Below are 19906 nucleotides of genomic sequence, written 5' to 3'. Positions count from 1 at the left end.
TTTACTTCTTAAATAAAGCAGCATGATACAGAACAATCCATATAGTATGATTCCATTAAAACAAAGACATGCCTATGTGGGTATGCATCTATATACACATGCACATATTTATCCATTCAAATAATTCTACAATTCTAGAAGGACCAAATTGTCATCAGTGGTTACCTCTGGTGTGTAGGAATGGCAGAGGTAGGAAGGTGTACATATGTATGTGGGAGGACTATGTGGGCAGACACTTCACATTTTACTCCTTGCTTATTATTATTTTTTTATTTTTACAATGAGCATTCTTTTTTTTTTCTTTTTTACAACACCAGAAAAAGTCACATTCTCAGAAGAAGAAAGGATTTGTTTTGGGTGCAGTGGTCTCCCCACCAGGCTCCTTTTCATACCTGGTGGCTGCAGTTACTTTCCAGAGCACAGCAGAACCAACCTGAGGCAACTGGAGTCCTCTTGTCTACTTTTCAGATTCTTGAATGGCTGGTCTTCAGCTCATGGAAACCTGGCTTTAAATGGCAGCCCCCAAATTCAAGAGAAAACACCAATTGCAAGCAATTCTAAAAGTCAGGCCATTGGGCCCTTGGGACCCAGAAGGGGAGTGAAACTCCAGAGCAAAAGGAAAATGCAATCGCTATCCCACACACCCTGGGAATGGGCTGGACTCCTGACCTTCCCCATCGCCCCCAGAGAGAGAGGCAGGGAGAGCTCTACAGCAATGAGAGGCTTTCCTTCAGGCTTCAGCTTTAGTGACCCCCAGTGACATCTTAGCAGCCAGCTTCTCATGCTGCATCCAGTGCAAGAACAACTTTTCCAGCCTAGAGCAGCAGTTGCATGAAACCTACCATTGACTGAGCTCTTATTATAAATGTGCCCTGCACTGTGTTCACAACAAACCCATAAAGGAGGTTTTATACTTGTCCTCATCTTACACTTGGAGAAACAGAGGCTCGGAGATGTGAAATGACTTGCTCAAGTTCATCCGGCTAGCAGTGGCAGAGTTAGAACCTACCCCATCCAGTCTGACTCCCAAGCCTGCACTCAACTTCTAAACTCCAAGGCAGGGCATCACAGTCAGATGATTTCAGAGCGAGTGGGCATTGACCACCCAGTGCACTGAAAAGAGACATCCACTGGAATCAGATTCCCATTTGGTGTCTGCCCCTGGACAAGTCACTTCCTCCTTTTGGCCTAAATATCCACATCTGTAAAGTGGGGACAACAATATCTTTCTCTCAGGGTTGTTCTGAGAATTAGAAATAAGATATGTAGAGAAACTACTACCAGCCCAAGCACTGAGGCACTCGATATAAAGCTGCCATCATCATCATCATCATCACCACCACTTTAAGCAGCCTGCTCAAAATGGAGTGGAAAGAAGGAATCTTAATAAGCACCCCACTTTGCACCTGTCCTGTTAGGTGCCCAGTGGGTGGCCCCTTCTCTCCATTCCCATGGCCTCATCCCTTGCAGGCTTCCTGGCTTCTGGCATTACCCTTCTCCAATATGCGCCCCACACAGCACCCAGCAAGACCCATCACTAAAACCTTCCCCATTTCCTTAGTGAAGCCCACCCCATGCTGGCCCTCACTGGCTCCTCTAGCACAGCCTTCTCCCTTCTGCAGAACACCCTGCACCCGTGCTCAGTTCCATATTTTTGCACATGCTGGTCCACTTTCCAGAAATACCCTCCCCCTCACACCCCCTTCATGGACTCTCACGCCTCCCACAAGGTCCCACTCAAATCCTTCAGGAAGCTTCCAGAATCCCATCTCACACCTAGGGTGAGGGACTCCTTCTTCTGCTCCACAACACTTTGTTCCTCAATTGTCAATAAGCATGCTTTAGGGAAAATTATGGTGACTTCATGCTCTATAATGTCTTCCCTACTGTCTTTTCCTCCTCGAGGCCCGGGCCTGGCAGTGTCTAGCGCACAGTCAGCGCTTAGGAACTGTTTAGAGCATGAATAGATGAAGACCAACTGCATCTCAGTAAAAGGAACATTTTCTAATTATTTGAGTTATTCACAGGAAGATGGGGTGCCAGTGAGCACCCTGTCACCGGGGGAGTGTACACTACAGGAACAGGAAAGAGCAGAGGTGTGGATGTGGACTCCTAATGACACAAACCATGGATAAGTTATGCTGGAATCACCTGGAGTACTGGTTGCTATTTATTTATTTACTTTTGAGAAGGAGTCTCACTCTGTTGTCCAGGCTGGGGTGCAGTGGCGCAATCTCGGCTCACTGCAACCTCTGCCTCCTAGTTCAAGTGATTCTCCTGTCTCAGCCTCCCAAGTAGCTGGGATTACAGGCATGCACCACCATGTCCGACTCATTTTTGTATTTTTAGTAGCGACGGGGTTCCACTATTTTGGCCAGACTGGTCTCAAACTCCTGACCTCAGGTGATCCTCCTGCCTCGGCCTCCCAAAGTGCTGGGATGACAGGCGTGAGCCACGACACCCGGCCCTGGTTGCTATTAATAATACAGATTCCTCGACTCAGGAGACTCTGATGCTGCAAGTCTGGGACAGTCCAGTTGTCTGGATTTGGAACAACATCCCCAGGTAATTTTGAAACACACCCATGTTTTGGGACGACTGAACTTGGTGACCTCTGAAGCCATTTGCAATCAGGTTTTGTGTGTGAAGGCCCTTCTTCAACTGTGAAGTGCTGTCCACAAGTCTTGGCTCCGGATGTTACCAGGCCCCCGAGACTGGGGAACTGAAGATTCAGGCTAGGGCTACAGCTCCTCGGACTCTGGGAGGTTACGGACCCAGCCCTGGGCCACTCTGTTGAAGCTGGGTCTGAGACGGAGGAGTTCCAAGCCACTGAGGGGCTCCGGGATGAAGGGGGTGCCTGGCCTGGGAAAAGTGCCCCCCACGAGGGGTCCTCCAAATGGCACCGGGGTCCTGGAGAAAGAGAGCAGCAGGAGAGGTGGGCTGTGTGGAACAGGGACAGCAGTACACTGACATGTGGATCACCATGTATGGGCCCCTCCCTGCCGCTCTCTGAGCCTCAGTTTTCCCTTCTATACAGCAAGATTCTGTACATCTTTTTTTTTTTTTTTTTTTTGAGACAGAGTCTCGCTCTGTCACCCAGGTTGGAGCGCAGTGGGGTGATCTCAGCTCACTGCAACCTCCGCCTCCCAGATTCAATCAATTCTCCTGCCTCAGCCTCCTGAGTAGCTGGGATTACAGGCACGTGCCACCATGCCCGGCTAATTTTTGTATTTTTAGTAGAGACGGGGTTTCACCATGTTGGCCAGGCTAGTCTCAAACTCCTGACCTCATGATCCGCCCATCTCGGCCTCCCAAAGTGCTGGGATTACAGGCGTGAGCCACCGCACCCAGCAATTCTGTACATCTTAAGAGGTTTTTTTCAACTTTGCCCATTTCCAAGTCTGCGCCTACTTGGGTGGTTCGTTGCTTAGCAATAGAAGTGAAGCCGATGGAGTCAGAATTGACTTGTCCTAGGCAAGACTCTAGACTCCCCTTCAGTAAGCTCCCCTTAGGACAAAAGGCCCAAAACTAGAGAGAGAAGAGAGCATTAGAAAGAGCACTGAAAATCAGGGGGGAAATGCAGATTACAACAGATATGCCATTTCTCCTCCAGGACACTGGCACGATGAAATAATGTGGTAACTGGGCAAAGTTGGTGAGATGGCGGGGGAAAAGTTTCACACATGCTGCTGGTTAGAGGGTAAGCCAGTGCTGCTACCGCAGAAGACAATTTGGCAGGATCTTTCTAACCTGAAATGTGTGAACTATGTCACCCCGCATCTTCACCTCTGAGCATATGGCTTAGGAAAGCACAGGCGCGTAGGCACTGGGATGCAGACCTGAGCAGCACATTAGTGACAAACCAGAAACAACCCACGTGTCCACTAGCAGAGAAATGGGCAAGACAGATAGAGCATGCTCACACGATAGAAAGCTATACAGCAGGCTGGGCACGGTGGCTCACGGCTATAATCCCAACACTTTGGGAGGCCGAGGAGGGCCGATCACCTGAGGTCAGGAGTTCGAGACCAGCCTGGCCCACATGGTGAAACCCCGTCGCTAGTAAAAACACAAAAATTAGATGGGCATGGTGGTGGGTGACTGTAATTCCAGCTACCTGGGAGGCTGAGGCAGAAGAATTGCTTGAACCTGAGAGGCAGAGGTTGCAGTGAGCTGAGATTGTGTCATTGCACTGCAGCCTGGGCCACAAAAGCAAAACTCTGCTCCACCCCGCGAAAAAAAAAGAAAAAGAAAACTATACAGCAGCTTAAAAGGAACTAGAGCTCTACGTATTAGTATGGTAGATTTCGAAAGCGTAATGTTGAGTAAAAAAAGCAAGTTAACAGAATGAAGTGCAAAGTATTAACACACACACCCCCACACACACACAAACGCCATTCCCCCTACAGGCATGCAGCTGCCCACACAAAATGTTCTGAGCCCATTCAGGCCAGCCTGACAACCATGTTACCTTTGGGAAGGCAACTGGGATTGGAGGATGGTGAGCAAAGGGGCTCTACATTTATTTGCCTAACATTTTTTAAAAGAGAACCTATGTATGTGATTTTAATAATACTTTTTTTTGTTGTTTTGTTTTGTTTTGTTTTGAGACAGGGTCTTGCTCTGTCACTCAGGCTAGAGTGTAGTAGAAGGATCTCGGCACACTGCAACCTCCGCCTCCCAGGTTCAAGCGATTCTCCCACCTCAGCCTCCTGAGTAGCTGGGATTACAAGTGTGTGCCAAGAAGCCCAGCTAATTTTTGTATTTTTAGTAGAAATGAGATTTCATCATGTTGGCCAGGCTGGTCTTGAACTTCTGACCTCAAGTGATCCGCCTCCCTCGGCCTCCCAAAGTGGGATTACAGGCATGAGCCACTGCGCCCGGCCTTAATACTGTTTCTTAATTTTAAGAAAAATAAAAATCATTGCTTGTGTTGTTTTTCCAGCAGCCTGGGACCAGTGGGAAGAGGAGAGTGCTTGCCTCTGGGGTGGAAAGACAAACCTTGAGCCAGGGCCTGAGTCCCAGCCAGGAAAGCATTTCTGCCTGGACCACCCCAGTTTTGGTGGCAACAGCCAGGCCTCACAGGAACAGGCTGGGTGGTGTCCAAGCCATGCAAGGCCCACAGTCAGGCCCTTGACTGGGAGCCCAGGACCCTGGAAGCTGAGCACATCTTGGCCACCCAAACTGCTGTTTCTCTTCTCTATGCCTCAGTTGGTCTTTCTCCCTCAGAAGAGGTCTGGATGCAGGGCTCCCTAAGAGCCTCTTTCTGCTGGTGGGAATGTGCCTTGCTGTCATACATGAGGCATGAGATCAGTGGGAGATGCAACCTGAGTGGCCCAGCCTGGAAGCTGCCTGCCAGGACTGAATGTCTGCTGCAGGTTTCAAATGACTGGGCAGGCAGGGTCTGAGGGCCCAGGAGGAGATAGGGCAGTCCTGCCTGCCAGGGAACTCCAGAATGTCTGTTAATGGCTCGTGACTCACACAGCGCATGCTAAGCCCAATTCTTCCCATCAGGAAGTCTCTGCCTATTCAGATATTTGAGGGCAGTCACATCCCTCTGGAGCTGTCTCTTCTCAAGGCAGATCACCCCCAGTTCCTTCAGCCCTTCCTCATATGTGCTGATTTTCCAGGCCTAGCTAGGCTCTGGCGCCCACCCGTCTGTCTTAGACAGACCCAGTCTCCACGTGTGGTCTGAGCAAATGCCAGAAGAGCAGGACCGTGGCGTCCTCTCTGTGGACTCCCCTTTTCCTCACTAAATGCAGCCCAAACCAGAGGAGCATATTCAAAAATAGCACCAGACCAAGGAAGCCAATGCAGTTAACATGCACTCCTCAGCCCAAGGCCTTCCCCCAGTGCCAAGCTCCTGTCTTGATTCCTATGGTTTGTTTTCAGGCCCTCAGTGCAGAATGGTAAATGTATCCCTTTCAAGCTCTCCCCTGTCCAAACTTCATCTCAGCTGTAAATAATAATCATAATACGCCGGGGGCGGTGGCTCATGCCTGTAATCCCAGCACTTTGGGAGGCAAAGGCGGGTGGATCACGAGTTCAGGAGTTCGAGACCAGCCCGGCCAACATAGTGAAACCCTGTCTCTACTAAAAATACAAAAAATTAGCCGGGCACGGTGGTGGGCGCCTGTAATCCCAGCTACTAGGGAGGCTAAGGCAGGAGAATCGCTTGAACCCAGGAGGAAGAGGTTGCAGTGAGCTGAGATTGCGCCATTGCACTCCAGCCCGGGTGACAGTGTGAGACTCCGTCTCAAATAATAATAATAACAACAACAACAATAATAGCTATTGTTTGTTGCAAGTGTCTTACTTGCCAGAAACTTTACCTATGGCTTCTCGTGTCATCTCCATAGCAACTTTATGAAGCAGGTACTATAAACCCCTCATTTTACAGGTGGGGCAATGGAGGCTCAGAGAGGTTAAGTCACTTGCCCAAGGTCAACACGGGCAGGCCTGGGGTCTGCATTCAAGTCCACGTGGAGGCCTCACGCTCTAAACCCATATAGGCCACTGCGCTGTGGCCCTCACTCTGGCGTCCAATGTTTCACTGCCACTCTCCACTTTGGGGCAGCCTCAAAGCTACCTTGTTGGCCTCTTCTAGGCCATTGGTGAAAGGAAAAGCTGAGCTGGCCTCGAACTGCTGAAATCTGGGGACCCCTCAGAGAAGGACACAAATCTAGATGTTCATCAAAGAGGTAGCACACAGCAGCCATGGAGAACAAGGCACTGGGCTCTGGAGTCAGACAAACCCAGACCTGAATCCCGGCCCTGCCGGTGCTTCCTTGTTTTGTGGCTTTGGCCGGGTTGTTCATATTCCTGAGCCGCAGCCTCTTCATCTGCAGAACAGGAAAACTCATAGCACCCGCCCACCATGTCCTGGAGAATATCCAAGATGTGCGGCACCTTCACTCTTCATTTCTCCCACGTTAACTGAGCACCTACCAGGTGCGGAGGCGCTGTTCCAGCCAGAGCTCAGTCAATGAATAGAAAGCGCTGGGGACAGAGCCTGGCCTGCAGAAAGTGCTCAGGAAACGCAGGCTCCCGCTGTGGCTGTGACTGGCTTCCCGCCCCTCCCGGTCTGTCCCCCGGGCTGCCCGCCCCGCCTTACTTGTTGAAATTTCGGTAGTCGTTGGGGCTGGGGGTGTGACTTCGGCCATCGCTCTGGTAGTCCCGGTAGCTGACGAACTCCTGCCAAGGGCAGCGGTAGCCCTTGGAGATGGCGGTGTGGTTGAACTTCTCTGGCGGGACGCCCTTCAGCGGCTCCGCATAGCCTAGGGGCGCGGGGGGAAGGGAGCGCCTCCGTTCTTCCACCCTCAGCCCCCAACCCCACCTCGCCCCACCCCCATTCCGCGGACGCGGTTGGAGGAGGGAAGATCGGAGTTAGGGGAGAGGACGGCGGGAATGGGAAGCCACAGTTGCTCCAGCACAGGAGACCCCTCCCCATCCCAGGAAACACGGAGGACTGCAGTGAGGAAGCCACGAGTTCGCAGCGCGGGTTGGTCTTGGCCTTGGCTGACTCGCTGTGTGACCTGGGGCGCGGCGCCCCTCCGGCTCGTGGTCTGGCGAGGGGAGTGCGCGCGTGCGCGTGTGTGTTGGGGAAGGGGGCGGACTAGCCTTCTGGGTGCTCTTCCTGCCCCATGGGGAGCACACCCATGCTTCAGGCCCCCCAGCCCTGGTCCCGGGACCCGAGGAGGCCACTCACCTGGCGCCAGGGCGCTGGGGCTGGGGACGCACCCAGCAGGGGCGGCTGCAGGGTGGGCGCCCTCGGGACCCCCGAGTGAGGCCCCGGGTGAGGCCGGGAAGATGTGGAGCTCCGAGCGGTAGTTCGGCCCCTCAGGGCCATTGGCATTGGCAACCTGGGCACAGGGGCGGGTTCTCAGAGGCCACCGACGACCTCCCGCCCCCAGCCGCGCTCCCCTTCCCCCAGCTTCCCTTCCAGGGAGCTCCCCTCCACGCTCACCGTCCCCGACTCCGCTGTTCCAGTCACCTTCCTCCTGGCGCTTCCGGCCAGCATCTGGGAACGAGGGGGTAGAATAAACCGCAGAGAAGCTCAGCGGGGCAGGGGACCAGGGTTCTCCCTCCACCAAAAAAAAAGGTCGGGGGGAGGCAAGAATCCTAACGCCCATCATCGGGGAACAAGGATGAGTTACTAGTTTACAACGCTAAACCCAGTGCCTGGGACCGAGAAATACTCGATATATGTTAATTGCTATTGTAATGCCGAGTCCGGGCAAGATACTTAATTTCCCTGAGCCTCAATGTCCTTCTCGATAGAATGAGGATGATGGTGATGAAGATCTCTTCCTCAGAGGGGTCTATGAGCATTAAATGAGATACCTGCAAAGTGCTTAGCTAGCATTGTCTTAGGCACATAGCAAAGGCGGGTGTTTTGCCATCTTTATTTTTCTGCCACATCACTCCCTCTCAGTTGCCTCCTGTCTAGCCCAGAAATTAAGTGGAGGGTGGATGGAATAGCCCTGGCTTCCTTAGAAGTATCTGGAACTGCCTGCTGCCTTTCTGAAGCCAAGGGAAAAACCCTTCTTGCCTTTCTTCTCCACCAGCAGATTATTCCATGGCCTTTCCTTTCTCCGGTGGGAAGAAGAAAAAAGGGCATTCTACATTTTCCATCTTAGATCAGGCCCAAGTCTAAACTAGATCCAGCCTGCTGCAAATTTAGCCTAGAGTGCATGCCTGTCTTAGCTTTTTTTTTTTTTTTTTTTTTTTGGTAGGAGCCAGAGTCCCTTCACTCCACGGCTTATCCTCAACCCCCTAATCCACTTTGTTTACTTTGTTCTGTATCCAGGGAGAGATGCCTAAAAAGATAACACTTTTCAAGGATCACACTGAAAGGCAGGAGCCTAATCTGATGGGAACATCACAGTCCTCAGCCTGGCTTACCGTTTGACTTTAGGCTAACCAGTGGCTCTCTGTGGTCCTCATTTTCCCCATGAGCACAATGGTGGCTTACTCACCGCCCGCTGGCTGGCTGCTAACTCGAAAGTGAACTTCTGCACACGGCGCTGCCTCTTCTGGAAGAGGAGGGACCCTCTGTTGTTGCGTAGTGACAGCTCCTCCATCATCAGGTCCTGGGGCACGCTCAGCTTCTTGCCCAGGTCCAGCGTAGGGACTGCCAGGAAAGGCCAGAGCGGGCTCTCACCACCCCATCCCCCATACACTCCAGGCCCCACCTCTCGAAGCATGGCATGCTGTGTGTAAGAATGCCTGTTTCTCACCAAGCTTGCCGACACCGGGTGTCATGATTGTTTGAAATCTTTGCCCACCTGATGGGCAAAAATGACACCTCAGAGTTTAATTTGCATGTGTTTGTTGCTCAGTGAAGTTTAGCACTGTTTCCGAAGTTCTTTGGCCATTTGTGTTTATTGCATGAATTCCCCATGCAGGTCTTTGCCCATAATGGTGGAGGTAGTGAGAAATGGTCAGATTCTCGATATTTTTTAAAGGTAAGCCATGGGTATGGGCAATGAGTGAGAGAGGATGACTGCAAGGTTTCTGGCCTTAGCCACTGGAAGGATAGAGCAGCCATTCACGGAGATGGGGAAGGCAAAGGGAGGAGAAGGTTCTGGGAAAGATCAGGAGTTCAGTTTTAGACCTGTGTTCTTTTAACTTTAAAATAGCCTTTTATTATTATAAAAAAGCATATATGGGCCAGGCGCGGTGGCTCACGCCTGTAATCCCAGCACTTTGGGAAGCCAAAGCAGGCGCATCACCTGAGGTCAAGGGTTCGAGACCAGCCTGACCAACATGGCAAAAACCCATCTCTACTAAAAGTAGAAAAATTAGCTGGGCGTAGGTGGCGCATGCCTGTAATCCCAGCCACTCTGGAGGCTGAGGCAGGAGAATCACTTGAACCCAGGAGGTGGAGGTTGCAGTAAGCCGAGATTGCATTGCTGCACTCCAGCCTGGGTGACAGAGTGATTTTCCATCAAAAAAAAAAAAAAAAAAAAAAAAAAAAAAAAGCATATATGGGCCCTGAGGAAAGTTGGACAATACAGATATCAGACAAAAAAGAGAAAAATACCATTATCTATCACCCAGAGACTGCCACTATTAACACCTTAGTGTATGTCCTTTCATATCTTTTTCAATGACTATATTCCTATGAGGTTTTAACCAAAATAAAATTATAGCATACATGTTTTGTAATTTTTTTTTTTTTGAGATGTCACCCAGGCTGGAGTGCAATGGCACAATCTCGGCTCGCTGCAACCTCCGCCTCCCGGGTTCAAGCAATTCTCCTGCCTTAGGCTCGTGAGTAGCTGGATTACAGGTGCGCACCACCACGCCCAGCTAATTTTTGTATTTTTAGTAGAGATGGGGTTTCAACATGTTGGCCAGGCTGGTCTCAAACTCCTGACCTTGTGATCCGCCCCCCACCCCCCCTCGGGCTCCCAGAGTGCTGGGATTACAGGCGTGAGCCACCGCTCCCGGCCTGTAACTTGTTTTATCAAGATCTTTACAAGTTAAAGATCTCCACATTTCCAAGTGAACAAATTTTTGTTTTACCTAATATCTAGTCCATATCCAAACTCTGCTAATTGTCTCCAAAACTGGGCACACTAAGTTTGAGGAGACTTGTAGGCATCTAAGTAGTGGTGCTGAGGAGGGAGATAGATGTGTGAATCTGGAGAAAACTGACCTGGAGGTGAAATGTTGGGCATCATGAGCTTTTACTGGTATTTACTGGTATTTGTTGTTGTTTTTCAATGAAGAACGTTACATTTATTTCTTTTCTCATAGTTGGAACTAGTCTTTACAGCTATTTAGAGGATTTTCAGGGTGATGGCTGTTCTTAGTAGTTTGAGACCCATCCCTATCCTTTGTGCGTTTCCTACCAGCCAAATTCAAACTTTCACGTTTGGCCAACAAAGGAAGCCTTTTGCAGGACAGAGGGGACAGAATGGTGAGGACCTTGGCAGGTGAGAGCCCTGTGTGGGCAGCACGGCCTGCCTAGTCCATCTCTAAAATCAGATACACATACGTTCATATTCCAGCTCCATAAATGGTATTTTAAGCTGGGAGGCTGGATGAGATCATAAAGAAATGAGAATAGGTAAAGAGGATCAGAGACGGAGCCTGGGGCCTCCAACATTTACAGTGAGGCGGTGAGGAGGAACCAAGCCAGGAGCCTGGGCAGGAGCAGCCCACAACATAGGAAGAAACTAAAGAGGATGGCATCCTGGAAATAAATGATGAAAGCATTTCAGGTATGATAGAGAGACTAACAGAGCCAAGTGCTGCTGATGTGTCAAGGAAGATGAGGGCTGAAAATCCACTATTATATTTAGCAATACAAGGTCATTGGTAATTTTCACTAAAGCAGTTTCTATGGAGTGTTTGGGTGTGAAAGCCTAACTGGAGAGGGTTCAAGAGAAAATGGACAGAAGAACAAGTTTAACCACACCATGAGGAAGCGATAAGCCAAATCCAGGACGCAGGACATTCTACAGGACAACTGGCCTGGTTTTTCAAACAAGTGAGTGACATGGAAAAAAGGGGCAGAGGGGTTGCTTTAGATTAAAGGAGATTTAGGAGCCATAGCAACCAAATAAAAACTGTGGCCCTTGTTTGGATGCTGATGAAAACAAACTAGAAAACTGAAGAAGGTTGAATACAGACCGCTTATTAAATGGTATCAAATCATTACTGCAAATTTTGTTCAGTATGCTAATATCTTTGTGGCATGTAAGGAAATGCCCTTTTATTATTTTGATGCATTCTGAAGAATTTGCGGGGTGAAATGACATGCTTTTTGGTATTAGCTTTGAAATTTAGGAATGAAGGAGGGACCATGTACTCCCTACTTGTATGTGTCTTTGGAAATTGACTAATAAAATGTCAAAAAGAGAGAAAGAGAGGATTGGTAAGAACAATATAGACAACTGCTTGGAAGAGTTGGGCTTTAAAGGATCCTGGCTACAGACAGCTATGGGATCAAGAGGGGTTTGTTTGTTTGTTTGTAAAAATGGAGAAATAACAGCATGTGCGTTAACTGACGGGAACATTTGACAATGCAATAGAGAGAGGGGAGAATTGCTGAAGGAATGTCCTTGAGCAGGAGTGACAGGAGAGCTGGGTTTCCAGAGCCCAGCCAGAGGAATTGGCACCAGGCAGGTATGAGGAGAGTCCATCCACCATATCAGAAAGGAAAACCACAAACACGGGTGCAGATGCAAGCAAGTAGACAGATGTGGCGGAGGATGCTTGCAGATGTTCTCTTCTGGTTACTCTATTTTTCTCAGTGGAATAAGAAGCAAGGTCTTTAGCTGAGAATGAGGTTGTGCAAGGAGGTATTGGAGGTTTGAGAAGAGGGGTTGCCAAAGTCATTAAGAGAGTAGCATGAGATAGTGAATGAACTAGGGAGATGGACATGGCTACCAGGCAGTACTGGGGGTCACTTGGGTGCTGTGATTCATGCCAGTCAATGGAATCCTAAATAGCTGTCTAAAAAGGACACTGATTTTTTTTTATTCTTTCAACGGACACATAAAGGACACTTTTTATGTGCTAAGAACAGAAAGAAATCCACTTATAGGCCGGGCGCAGTGGCTCACACCCATAATCCCAGCACTTTGGGAGGCAGAGGAGGGTGGATCACTTGAGGTCAGGAGTTCAAGACCAACCTGGCCAACATGGCAAAACCCCTTCTCTACTAAGAATACAAAAATTAGCCAGGCATGGTGGCGTGTGCCTGTAATTCAGCTACTTGGGAGGCTGAGGCACAAGAATCACTTGAAGGTGGAGGTGAAGTTTGCAATGAGCTGAGATCATGTCACTGTGCTCCAGTCTGGGCAAAAGAGTGAGATGCTGTCTCAAAAAAAAAAGAAAAAAAGAAATCCAGTATAAATTAATTGGAGGGGAAAGTAAGATTCAGAAGAATAGGTATTCTAAGATCCCATTTATATTATATATTATATAACTATATTTTATATATATGTGTGTGTATATATATATATATATATTTTTTTTTTTTTTTTTTGAGACAGAGTCTTGCTCTGTTGCCCAGGCTAGAGTGCAGTGGTGCAATCTCGGCTCACTGCAACCTCTGCCTCCTGGGTTCTAGTGATTCTCCTGCCTCAGTCTCGCAAGTAACTGGGACTATGGGCATGAGCCACCACGCACGGCTAATTTTTGTATTTTTAGCAGAGATGGGGTTTCACCATGTTGGCCAGGCTGGTCCCAAACTCCTGACCACAAGTGATCTGCCCGCCTCAGCCTCCCAAAGTGTTGGGATTACAGGTGTGAGCCACCGCGCCCGGCCCCCATTTCTATATTAAAAAATAAGTATGTGTTTTTGCATGCATTGAAAAATCTGCAAGGAGACATGCCAAGGAGACATGTCACCACAGCAGTGACCATGGGACATATAAAGGAGGAGGGTTGGAAATTGTTTACACTGTTTTGTTGTAACTGTTTTTAACAAGAAAGTGTACTGCCTACTTAAAAATATAAAAGAATAGTTATACCTAAATACATAATAAAGCACCCTCAGTATCATATTCTGAAATACTATACAGATGAGCTGAGCTCAATATTGTTCTTTTTTTTTTTTTTTTTTTAGACGAGTTTCACTCTTGTTGCCCAGGCTGGAGTGCAATGGCATGATCTCGGCTCACTGCAACCTCTGCCTCCCGGGTTCAAGCGATTCTCCTGCCTCAGCCTCCCGAGTAGCTGGAATTGCAGGCATGCACCATCACGCCTGGCTAATTTTGTATTTATAGTAGAGATGGGGTTTCTCCATGTTGGTCAGGCTGGTCTCGAGCTCCCAACCTCAGGTCATCCGCTTGCCTCAGTCTCCCAAAGTGCTGGGATTACAGGCGTGAGCCACCTCCCCCAGCTGAGCTCAATATTTAAAAAAAAAAAATGGCAGGCACAGTGGCTCACAACTATAATCCCAGCACTTGCAGAGGGCAAAGTGGGTGGATTGCTTGGGCCCAGGAGTTCAAGACCAGCCTGGGCAATATAGCAAGACCCTGTCTCTATTAAAAAATAAAAAAAGATAAAATCTATTTGACTGAGTATTTCTATTTCTAGGAATTTATTCTCGGGGAAAAAGTTGAATAAATATGTCCAAAGATACATGTATAAGAATGTTTATTGCAGTGGGGTTTAAAATTGTGAAAACTGGGACTCAGTCTCGTGGTGGATGCTGCCAGATGCCCCTTATTAGTGGCTAAGAGTTCACACCACCACCTTCTACAGAGAACTGCCAGTGGAATGGATGCTCCACAGCGCCCTTGCCTCAGGTGGGATGAATTCTGTGGAGCAATTCATGCTCGAGAGCTCCCCGCGGGGTCACACTGAACTGGACAGCCGCTGAGCCCACATCCTCGCTCAGCAGTACCCCACCCTAGGCTGCATTCCTCCTTCCCTTCCGAGAGCACGTTCTCAATAAGTCACTTGCACAAGGCTCCTCTGTTCTGCCCCGAAGGATCTCACCCCAGACAACCCTCATCAGGGGATGGTTAAACACACATGACGTGTCCAAACAGCAGAAAGCTGGTAAGCACGGGGAAGGAAGGCGTGAGATAAATCATACTAGGATGGAATGCTGCTAAATGAAAAAAAAAAAAAGCCAAAGAACATAGCATATAGTATTTAGCCCATGTGTATGTATGTTTATATAAAGACATTCATATATGAACAGAACAAGAATTTACATAAATATGTTAACAGTGGTTATCTCCAGATGGTTCCATTATGATGAACTTTCAAAGCCGTTCATGTCTGTTTTGTCTGAATTAAACAAATTTTTTTAATGTATGCCAAGTCAATGGCAAGTGAATTTTTTTTTTAAAAAGTGATGTATTATCATTGTAACCATGTAATAAAGAAACAGCTCTGAAGACAAAGAGACCTGGAGTCAAATTGCAGCTCTACCACCTACCAGATGTGATCACCTGCTCCTCTGAGCCTCAATATTCTCATTTCCAAAATGAGGAGAATATCTAACTTAGGGAGTTGTGGTGGGGATGAAATGACACAAAGCATAAAGGATACTTTTCTCTTAGCAAAGTATCTGCCACATAGTAAGCATGCAATGATGGTAAACATTTTTATAACTTTTACTTTACAGTGGCCGTCTTTAGGTAGTGAGATTATGAGATTTATTTTTTCTTCCTACTTTTGTTTCAAAATTGTCTTTAGTCAGTACCTTAGCAATAATCAACAAGTTATATATTTCAAGTCTTGTATCAATGATGTGTCTCCATATTTGGGGGTCTGTAATGAACTCCCCAAGAGAAAAGAGAATGCATTGCCTGACCCTTCTAGTTAGAGCGTCAGTACCCATAGAATGTGCATATTTCAGCTACAAAATCAGGGTAGGGGAAGAAACTGGACATCAACAAAAGGAGGCAAGAGCACACAAAATAGGTTAAAAGGATGCCACATATGAAGTCATGAAATATGACTGACTCCTTAGCACGCTGAAGGCAAATGCACAAGTCCTAACTTAGGTCCCCTGAGTCAGAATCCTCAGGAGTAGATGCTGGGACTCTGTATGCTTAACCAACATCAAATCATTATGATTCACAATAAAGCTTGAGAACTCTGACTTAGTTGAATTAATTTTTTTCTTTTTCTTTTTTTTTTTTTTTAGAGACAGAGTCTCCCTCTGTCACCCAGGCTGGAGTGCAGTGGCACAACCGTAGCTCACTATAGCCTCCAACTCCTAGGCTCAAACGATCCTCTTGCCTCAGCCTCCTGAGTAGCTGGGACCACAGGCATGTGCCACCATGCCTGGCTAATTTTTTTTTTTTGTAGAGATGGAGTCTCACCATGTTGCCCCGGCTGGTCTCAAACTCCTGGGCTCAAGCAATTCTTCCACCTCAGCCTCCCAAAGTGCTGGGATTAAAGGCATCAGCCTCTGTGTCCAGCCCCTAAATTAATTTTTAAAATACCTGAAATCCTCTAAAGTAGACCAAATAAACAGATTCCAAAATTGTATCAAGAGTTCCTCAAGAGGTCTTCTAAAATTGATAAAAATGAATTTAAACTTTTTTAATGAAATGATAAAAATGATTTACTCATTTGATGAATCAGCTTTAAGTAGAAAGTTTTGTATTCAAATGGGCAGCCTGCTCTTCCCACCCTGCTCCACTCTCTCGACTCCCCTGTCTTCCCACCCTACTCCACTCTCTCCACTCCCCTCTCTTAGCCATGGGGCCCAGCCATCCTGGGCCACCCAGAGGCCTCGGTGAGACCCACAGGAGTAATAGGCAAAGGCAAGTGTGTGCAGAGCTTGCAGCCACAGGTAGGGCTGGAGTTGGGACCAGAGTCTTCAGAGCTTAATTTGGGGCTGAGGTGAGGCCTTAGATGAAGCCAGGGCCAGGGTCATTTTAGAGCCAAGGCCCAGCCTGGGACACTCAGCCTCAGCTCCTGGGTCTGTGGACAGATGGGCAAGACCCCTCCCAGTGCCTCAGGGAAGCTTCCCAGCCTAGGCAGCAAATTCTACAGGCACTCCCTCAGAGCTGGCCTGGAGCTCACACCTGTCTGCCCAGGCCTGGGGCCAGCAGGCCAGAGTGAGTGCAGCCTGGGAGCAAGGAAATGATGGAGTCTGAGGAAGGCATGAGGCTAGAACCACCTTACCTGGTTCAGTGAGGTCCCCCATGGCAGCCATCACTGGCCCCTTCTGCTCCTTGGGGATCATCCTGTGGAGGAGAGACCCCCATAAATGGACCAGGCTGCCTCCATTTCTCCCCAGACCTCCTTCCAGTCTCTGGTTCACCCTGCCCCAGTCCTGAACAGCTTTAGGCCAGCCCCAAATCACAAGCAAGGGATGTCTGAGCTGGAAGGGACTTCAGGGTCTCCGTGCAGAGGAGACTGAGGCCCAGGGAACGAGAGGGAGGTGCTCAAGTTTGCACGAATCTATTTTCATGTTGCTAGGGAAGCACTGTCTCTTCAGGGGTGGTTTCTAGGGCCTTTTCCCAGCTCTGGCATCCTGATCAGAGGGAGAGTAGGTGCCAGGGGCATCCGGGTGGGGCAGGCAAAGGTCTCAGGCACTACTGTCATCGGTTGACCCAGGAGAGTCCTAGTCCAAGGCTGAAAGAAGTTGGAGGTTTAAGTTAGGGGAAGGGGGAGGATGGACTAGGTTGGGGTTACACTGGGGTCTGCAAGGCTGGTGAGCCCCTTTCATCCTTGGCACTTGGCCCTGACGCTTGAGGGCACAGGCTGGTCCAACCAAGCAGAGAGAACCATCCCCCGTCCTCCCCATCTCCCCGCTACTGGGCTAACTTCCGTGGTGTTCTCTTCTCCCTCGTCCCTTCTCTTCCTCCTGTTCCATCCCCCTATTTGTATCTCATGGCACTTTCAAAGAATCTTGGAAGAGATTTGCAAATAAAATGAGGTCCAGAGCCCTTAACTTGCCCAGGTACCTTAACTTGCCCTCTGGAGAAGAGGCAGAGCCCTTGAGCTCCTCGACTGACCACCCACCTGGGTACCCTTCTCCTTTGCCTCCAGGTTTTCCTATACTCCTTCCTTTAGAAAACAATCTGCCTTCATCTGTATCCCCAACACCGACAAGGGGCCCTGGGAGTCAGTGGGCACTGCATTGTGCAACTGGAGTCTAGTGGGTGTCCCTGGCTTTCTCTGTAACTGCGAACAAGTAGCTTTCCAGCTCTGCACCTCAGTTCCCCCATCTGTAACAGTAGGGGGTTAGGCTAAATCACAGAGATCCATGGATGGGCTTTAGGGTGTTCACAAACCCCCTAAAACTATACGTAAACATGAGTGTGTCTACATGCATTTGGGGTGAGGGTCATGGGATGATTGAGAATGCCTCGATCACAACCGTTTAGGATTCCACAGTCCACAGATCTGTTTCTTGATAAACACTCCCTTTACAGAAATTCACAGATGCTGGGAAGGGTCTCTCATTTTACAGAGAAGCTGCTTCCCTCTACTGCCTAAAAATCCCAAAGTCCTGAGCAGAGCCATTACCTATTCCCCACCTTTAATCCTAGCCACACCCTCCCCATTTAATGCAGGGTAACCTAGAGCTTAGAGTTCCTCTCCTCCCAAACCAGGATCGAGGCTTGCATGGGGCCCCAAACTCCCTAGATCCACTGCAGGGCCCTTCCTCTCCGGGGGAAGGAGCTCTGGGGATTGGCTCACCTCCTCTGCCCACTCCCCTGAGTTCCCCAAGCTCCCCTAGGATGCTGGTACCTGAGAGGATGGGACCACAATAGGCAGGAGGGAATCTTAGACCCTCAAGATTAACACCTCTGTCGGGAAGCTGAGAGTTGCGTGGCGTCCCTGTAGGCAGTCAGCGGTCAGCAGTCAGTAGGCAGCGAGCAGGGTGTCCCCTGCAGCCAGCTCTGGCTTCAGCTGATGAGAATCATTCCTGCCTTGCCATGGGTCACAGCCTTATTTCGGGCTGCAATAGGAGCTGGAGCCAGAGGCTAAAAGCACCAGACCCTAGGGAAGACAGGTGCCCTGGCAACAGGCCTGTGCAGACAGAGGGCTTGCACCCACGTGTACACACACACTCACATATGCACACACCAAAGTCACCTGGAAATGTTGAGGGTCAGCTGCTGGTAGCTTCCGCTTGTTAACTGTTATATCCTTAGTGCCAAGAATGGTGCTTGATAGGAACTCAGCAGATATTTGTCGAAGGAAGGAATGGATGGATAGATAGATGGATGAATGAATTGCTCCTCAATATCTTTGCTTGACTTATCCTTTTCTTCCTTCCTTTCTTCTCTCCTGCCTTTCTTCTTCTGCCTCCTTCCTGCCTGCCTTCTTTTCTCCCCTCCTCCCTCCCTCCCTCCCTCCCTCTACCTTCTCACATTCCCTGAGCCTCTCTCTAAGGACTGAAAATAAATAAGGCAGGGCTCTGTCTTCAAGGAGCTCAGCCAGGTCAGATTCAGACGGGTAAACAAGCTTTGGGGAAGGCTCTGGGAGAGCCCAGGGGAGGGAGTTACCAGCTCAGCCTGGGGTGGGGGGTGAGAAGGCTTCCCAGAGGAGGACACACTGGAGTTGGGCCTTGAAGGATGAGTGGGAGTTCACTGGGCAGAGAAGGGGCATGGCAGGCAGTGGACATGTCACCTACAAAGATGGGTAGGGGGTTGGCAAGTAGAGCCGGAGCTGGGGGCAGTGCTGAGAGATTAGCCCAGACAGTGGGGGCAGCGGCCAGATCCCAGCAGGCTTTCAAAAGGAAACTGTGTTTATAAAGGGTTGCTGACAAGATTAAAGTGGTGAAATGGAGTGATCGGATTGGCATTTTCCAAAGATATCTTTGCTGCCATGTGGGAAATGGGTTGGAGGGGGCCAGACTGGAGGCAGGAGGACCTGACTGTCACCAGGGGTGGCTGGATCAGGGCAGTGACAAGGAGATGGAGAGGAGAGGGAGTTGAGGGTTATTTGAAGAACCCTTGGGTCTTGGTGAGGAACTGGATGTGGAAGGTGAGGAAAGGGAGTCCCACTCCCCTGTTTCATGCTTGGGTGACTGGAAGGGGAGGAGCAGGAGGGGTGGGGGCAGACACTGAGGTCAGTTTTGGATGAACTTTGAGGTGTCGGGGGACTGGGATGAGATCACCAGTAGGCAATGGGACACTGTGCTGCAGTGAGGCCCCAGCCGAAGATAAAGATTGGGTCCAAGGCACACACTCCTGGGGAAGGGTGGGCCTAGCAAGGATGGGCTGGGTGCAGGGTGGGGACCACCGGTGTCTGTGTGCTGGCAGACTATCCTGGGGTGTATTTCTGACACCTCTCAAATCAGAAGCCTAGATTCTGCTGTCCACCACCCTGACCTTAGCTTCCTGGCCCTCGGTGGGCCTGAGCTTCTAGAGAGGAAGAGTGAGGTGTGTTCCCAGGGCAAGCTTAGCCTCACCTGGGAGCAGGATCACAATCCCCTTCTCTGGCCAAAGGACACTCCTGC

The 19906-nt window shown here is 49.4% G+C and overlaps 1 protein-coding gene and 1 long non-coding RNA gene across 10 annotated transcripts; one reads left to right on the top strand and one right to left on the bottom strand.

The window, feature by feature from the left end:
- Window positions 249–18748, bottom strand: MYOZ3 (myozenin 3). Of its 2 annotated transcripts, none has more exons than NM_133371.5 (7): window positions 18538–18748; window positions 16615–16676; window positions 8979–9133; window positions 7967–8020; window positions 7709–7862; window positions 7115–7277; window positions 249–2910 (listed from the first exon to the last, which is right to left on the bottom strand). In NM_133371.5, the coding sequence occupies exons 2-7, from the start codon at window positions 16673–16675 to the stop codon at window positions 2742–2744; spliced, it is 756 nt and encodes a 251-aa protein (NP_588612.2). In that variant the 5' UTR covers window position 16676; window positions 18538–18748; the 3' UTR covers window positions 249–2741. The 2 variants fall into 2 exon arrangements, with proteins under 2 accessions (NP_588612.2, NP_001116325.1); NM_001122853.3 differs by lacking the exon at window positions 18538–18748 and adding an exon at window positions 18190–18366.
- Window positions 7148–14103, top strand: MYOZ3-AS1 (MYOZ3 antisense RNA 1). 8 transcript variants are annotated; one of them, NR_186482.1, is made up of 6 exons: window positions 7148–7501; window positions 8810–9089; window positions 9408–9467; window positions 11019–11231; window positions 11348–11500; window positions 13586–14103. It is a non-coding gene; the product is annotated as an MYOZ3 antisense RNA 1 (long non-coding RNA). The 8 variants fall into 8 exon arrangements; NR_186480.1 differs by lacking the exon at window positions 11019–11231; NR_186481.1 differs by lacking the exon at window positions 11019–11231 and having other exon boundaries at window positions 11345–11500.

Source organism: Homo sapiens, chromosome 5 (assembly GCF_000001405.40).
Source record: "Homo sapiens chromosome 5, GRCh38.p14 Primary Assembly".
In the NCBI taxonomy this organism is placed as follows: Eukaryota; Metazoa; Chordata; class Mammalia; order Primates; family Hominidae; genus Homo; species Homo sapiens.
The sequence above is the reverse complement of the archived record's forward strand: the minus strand, read 5'-3'. Positions and strand labels throughout refer to the sequence as shown.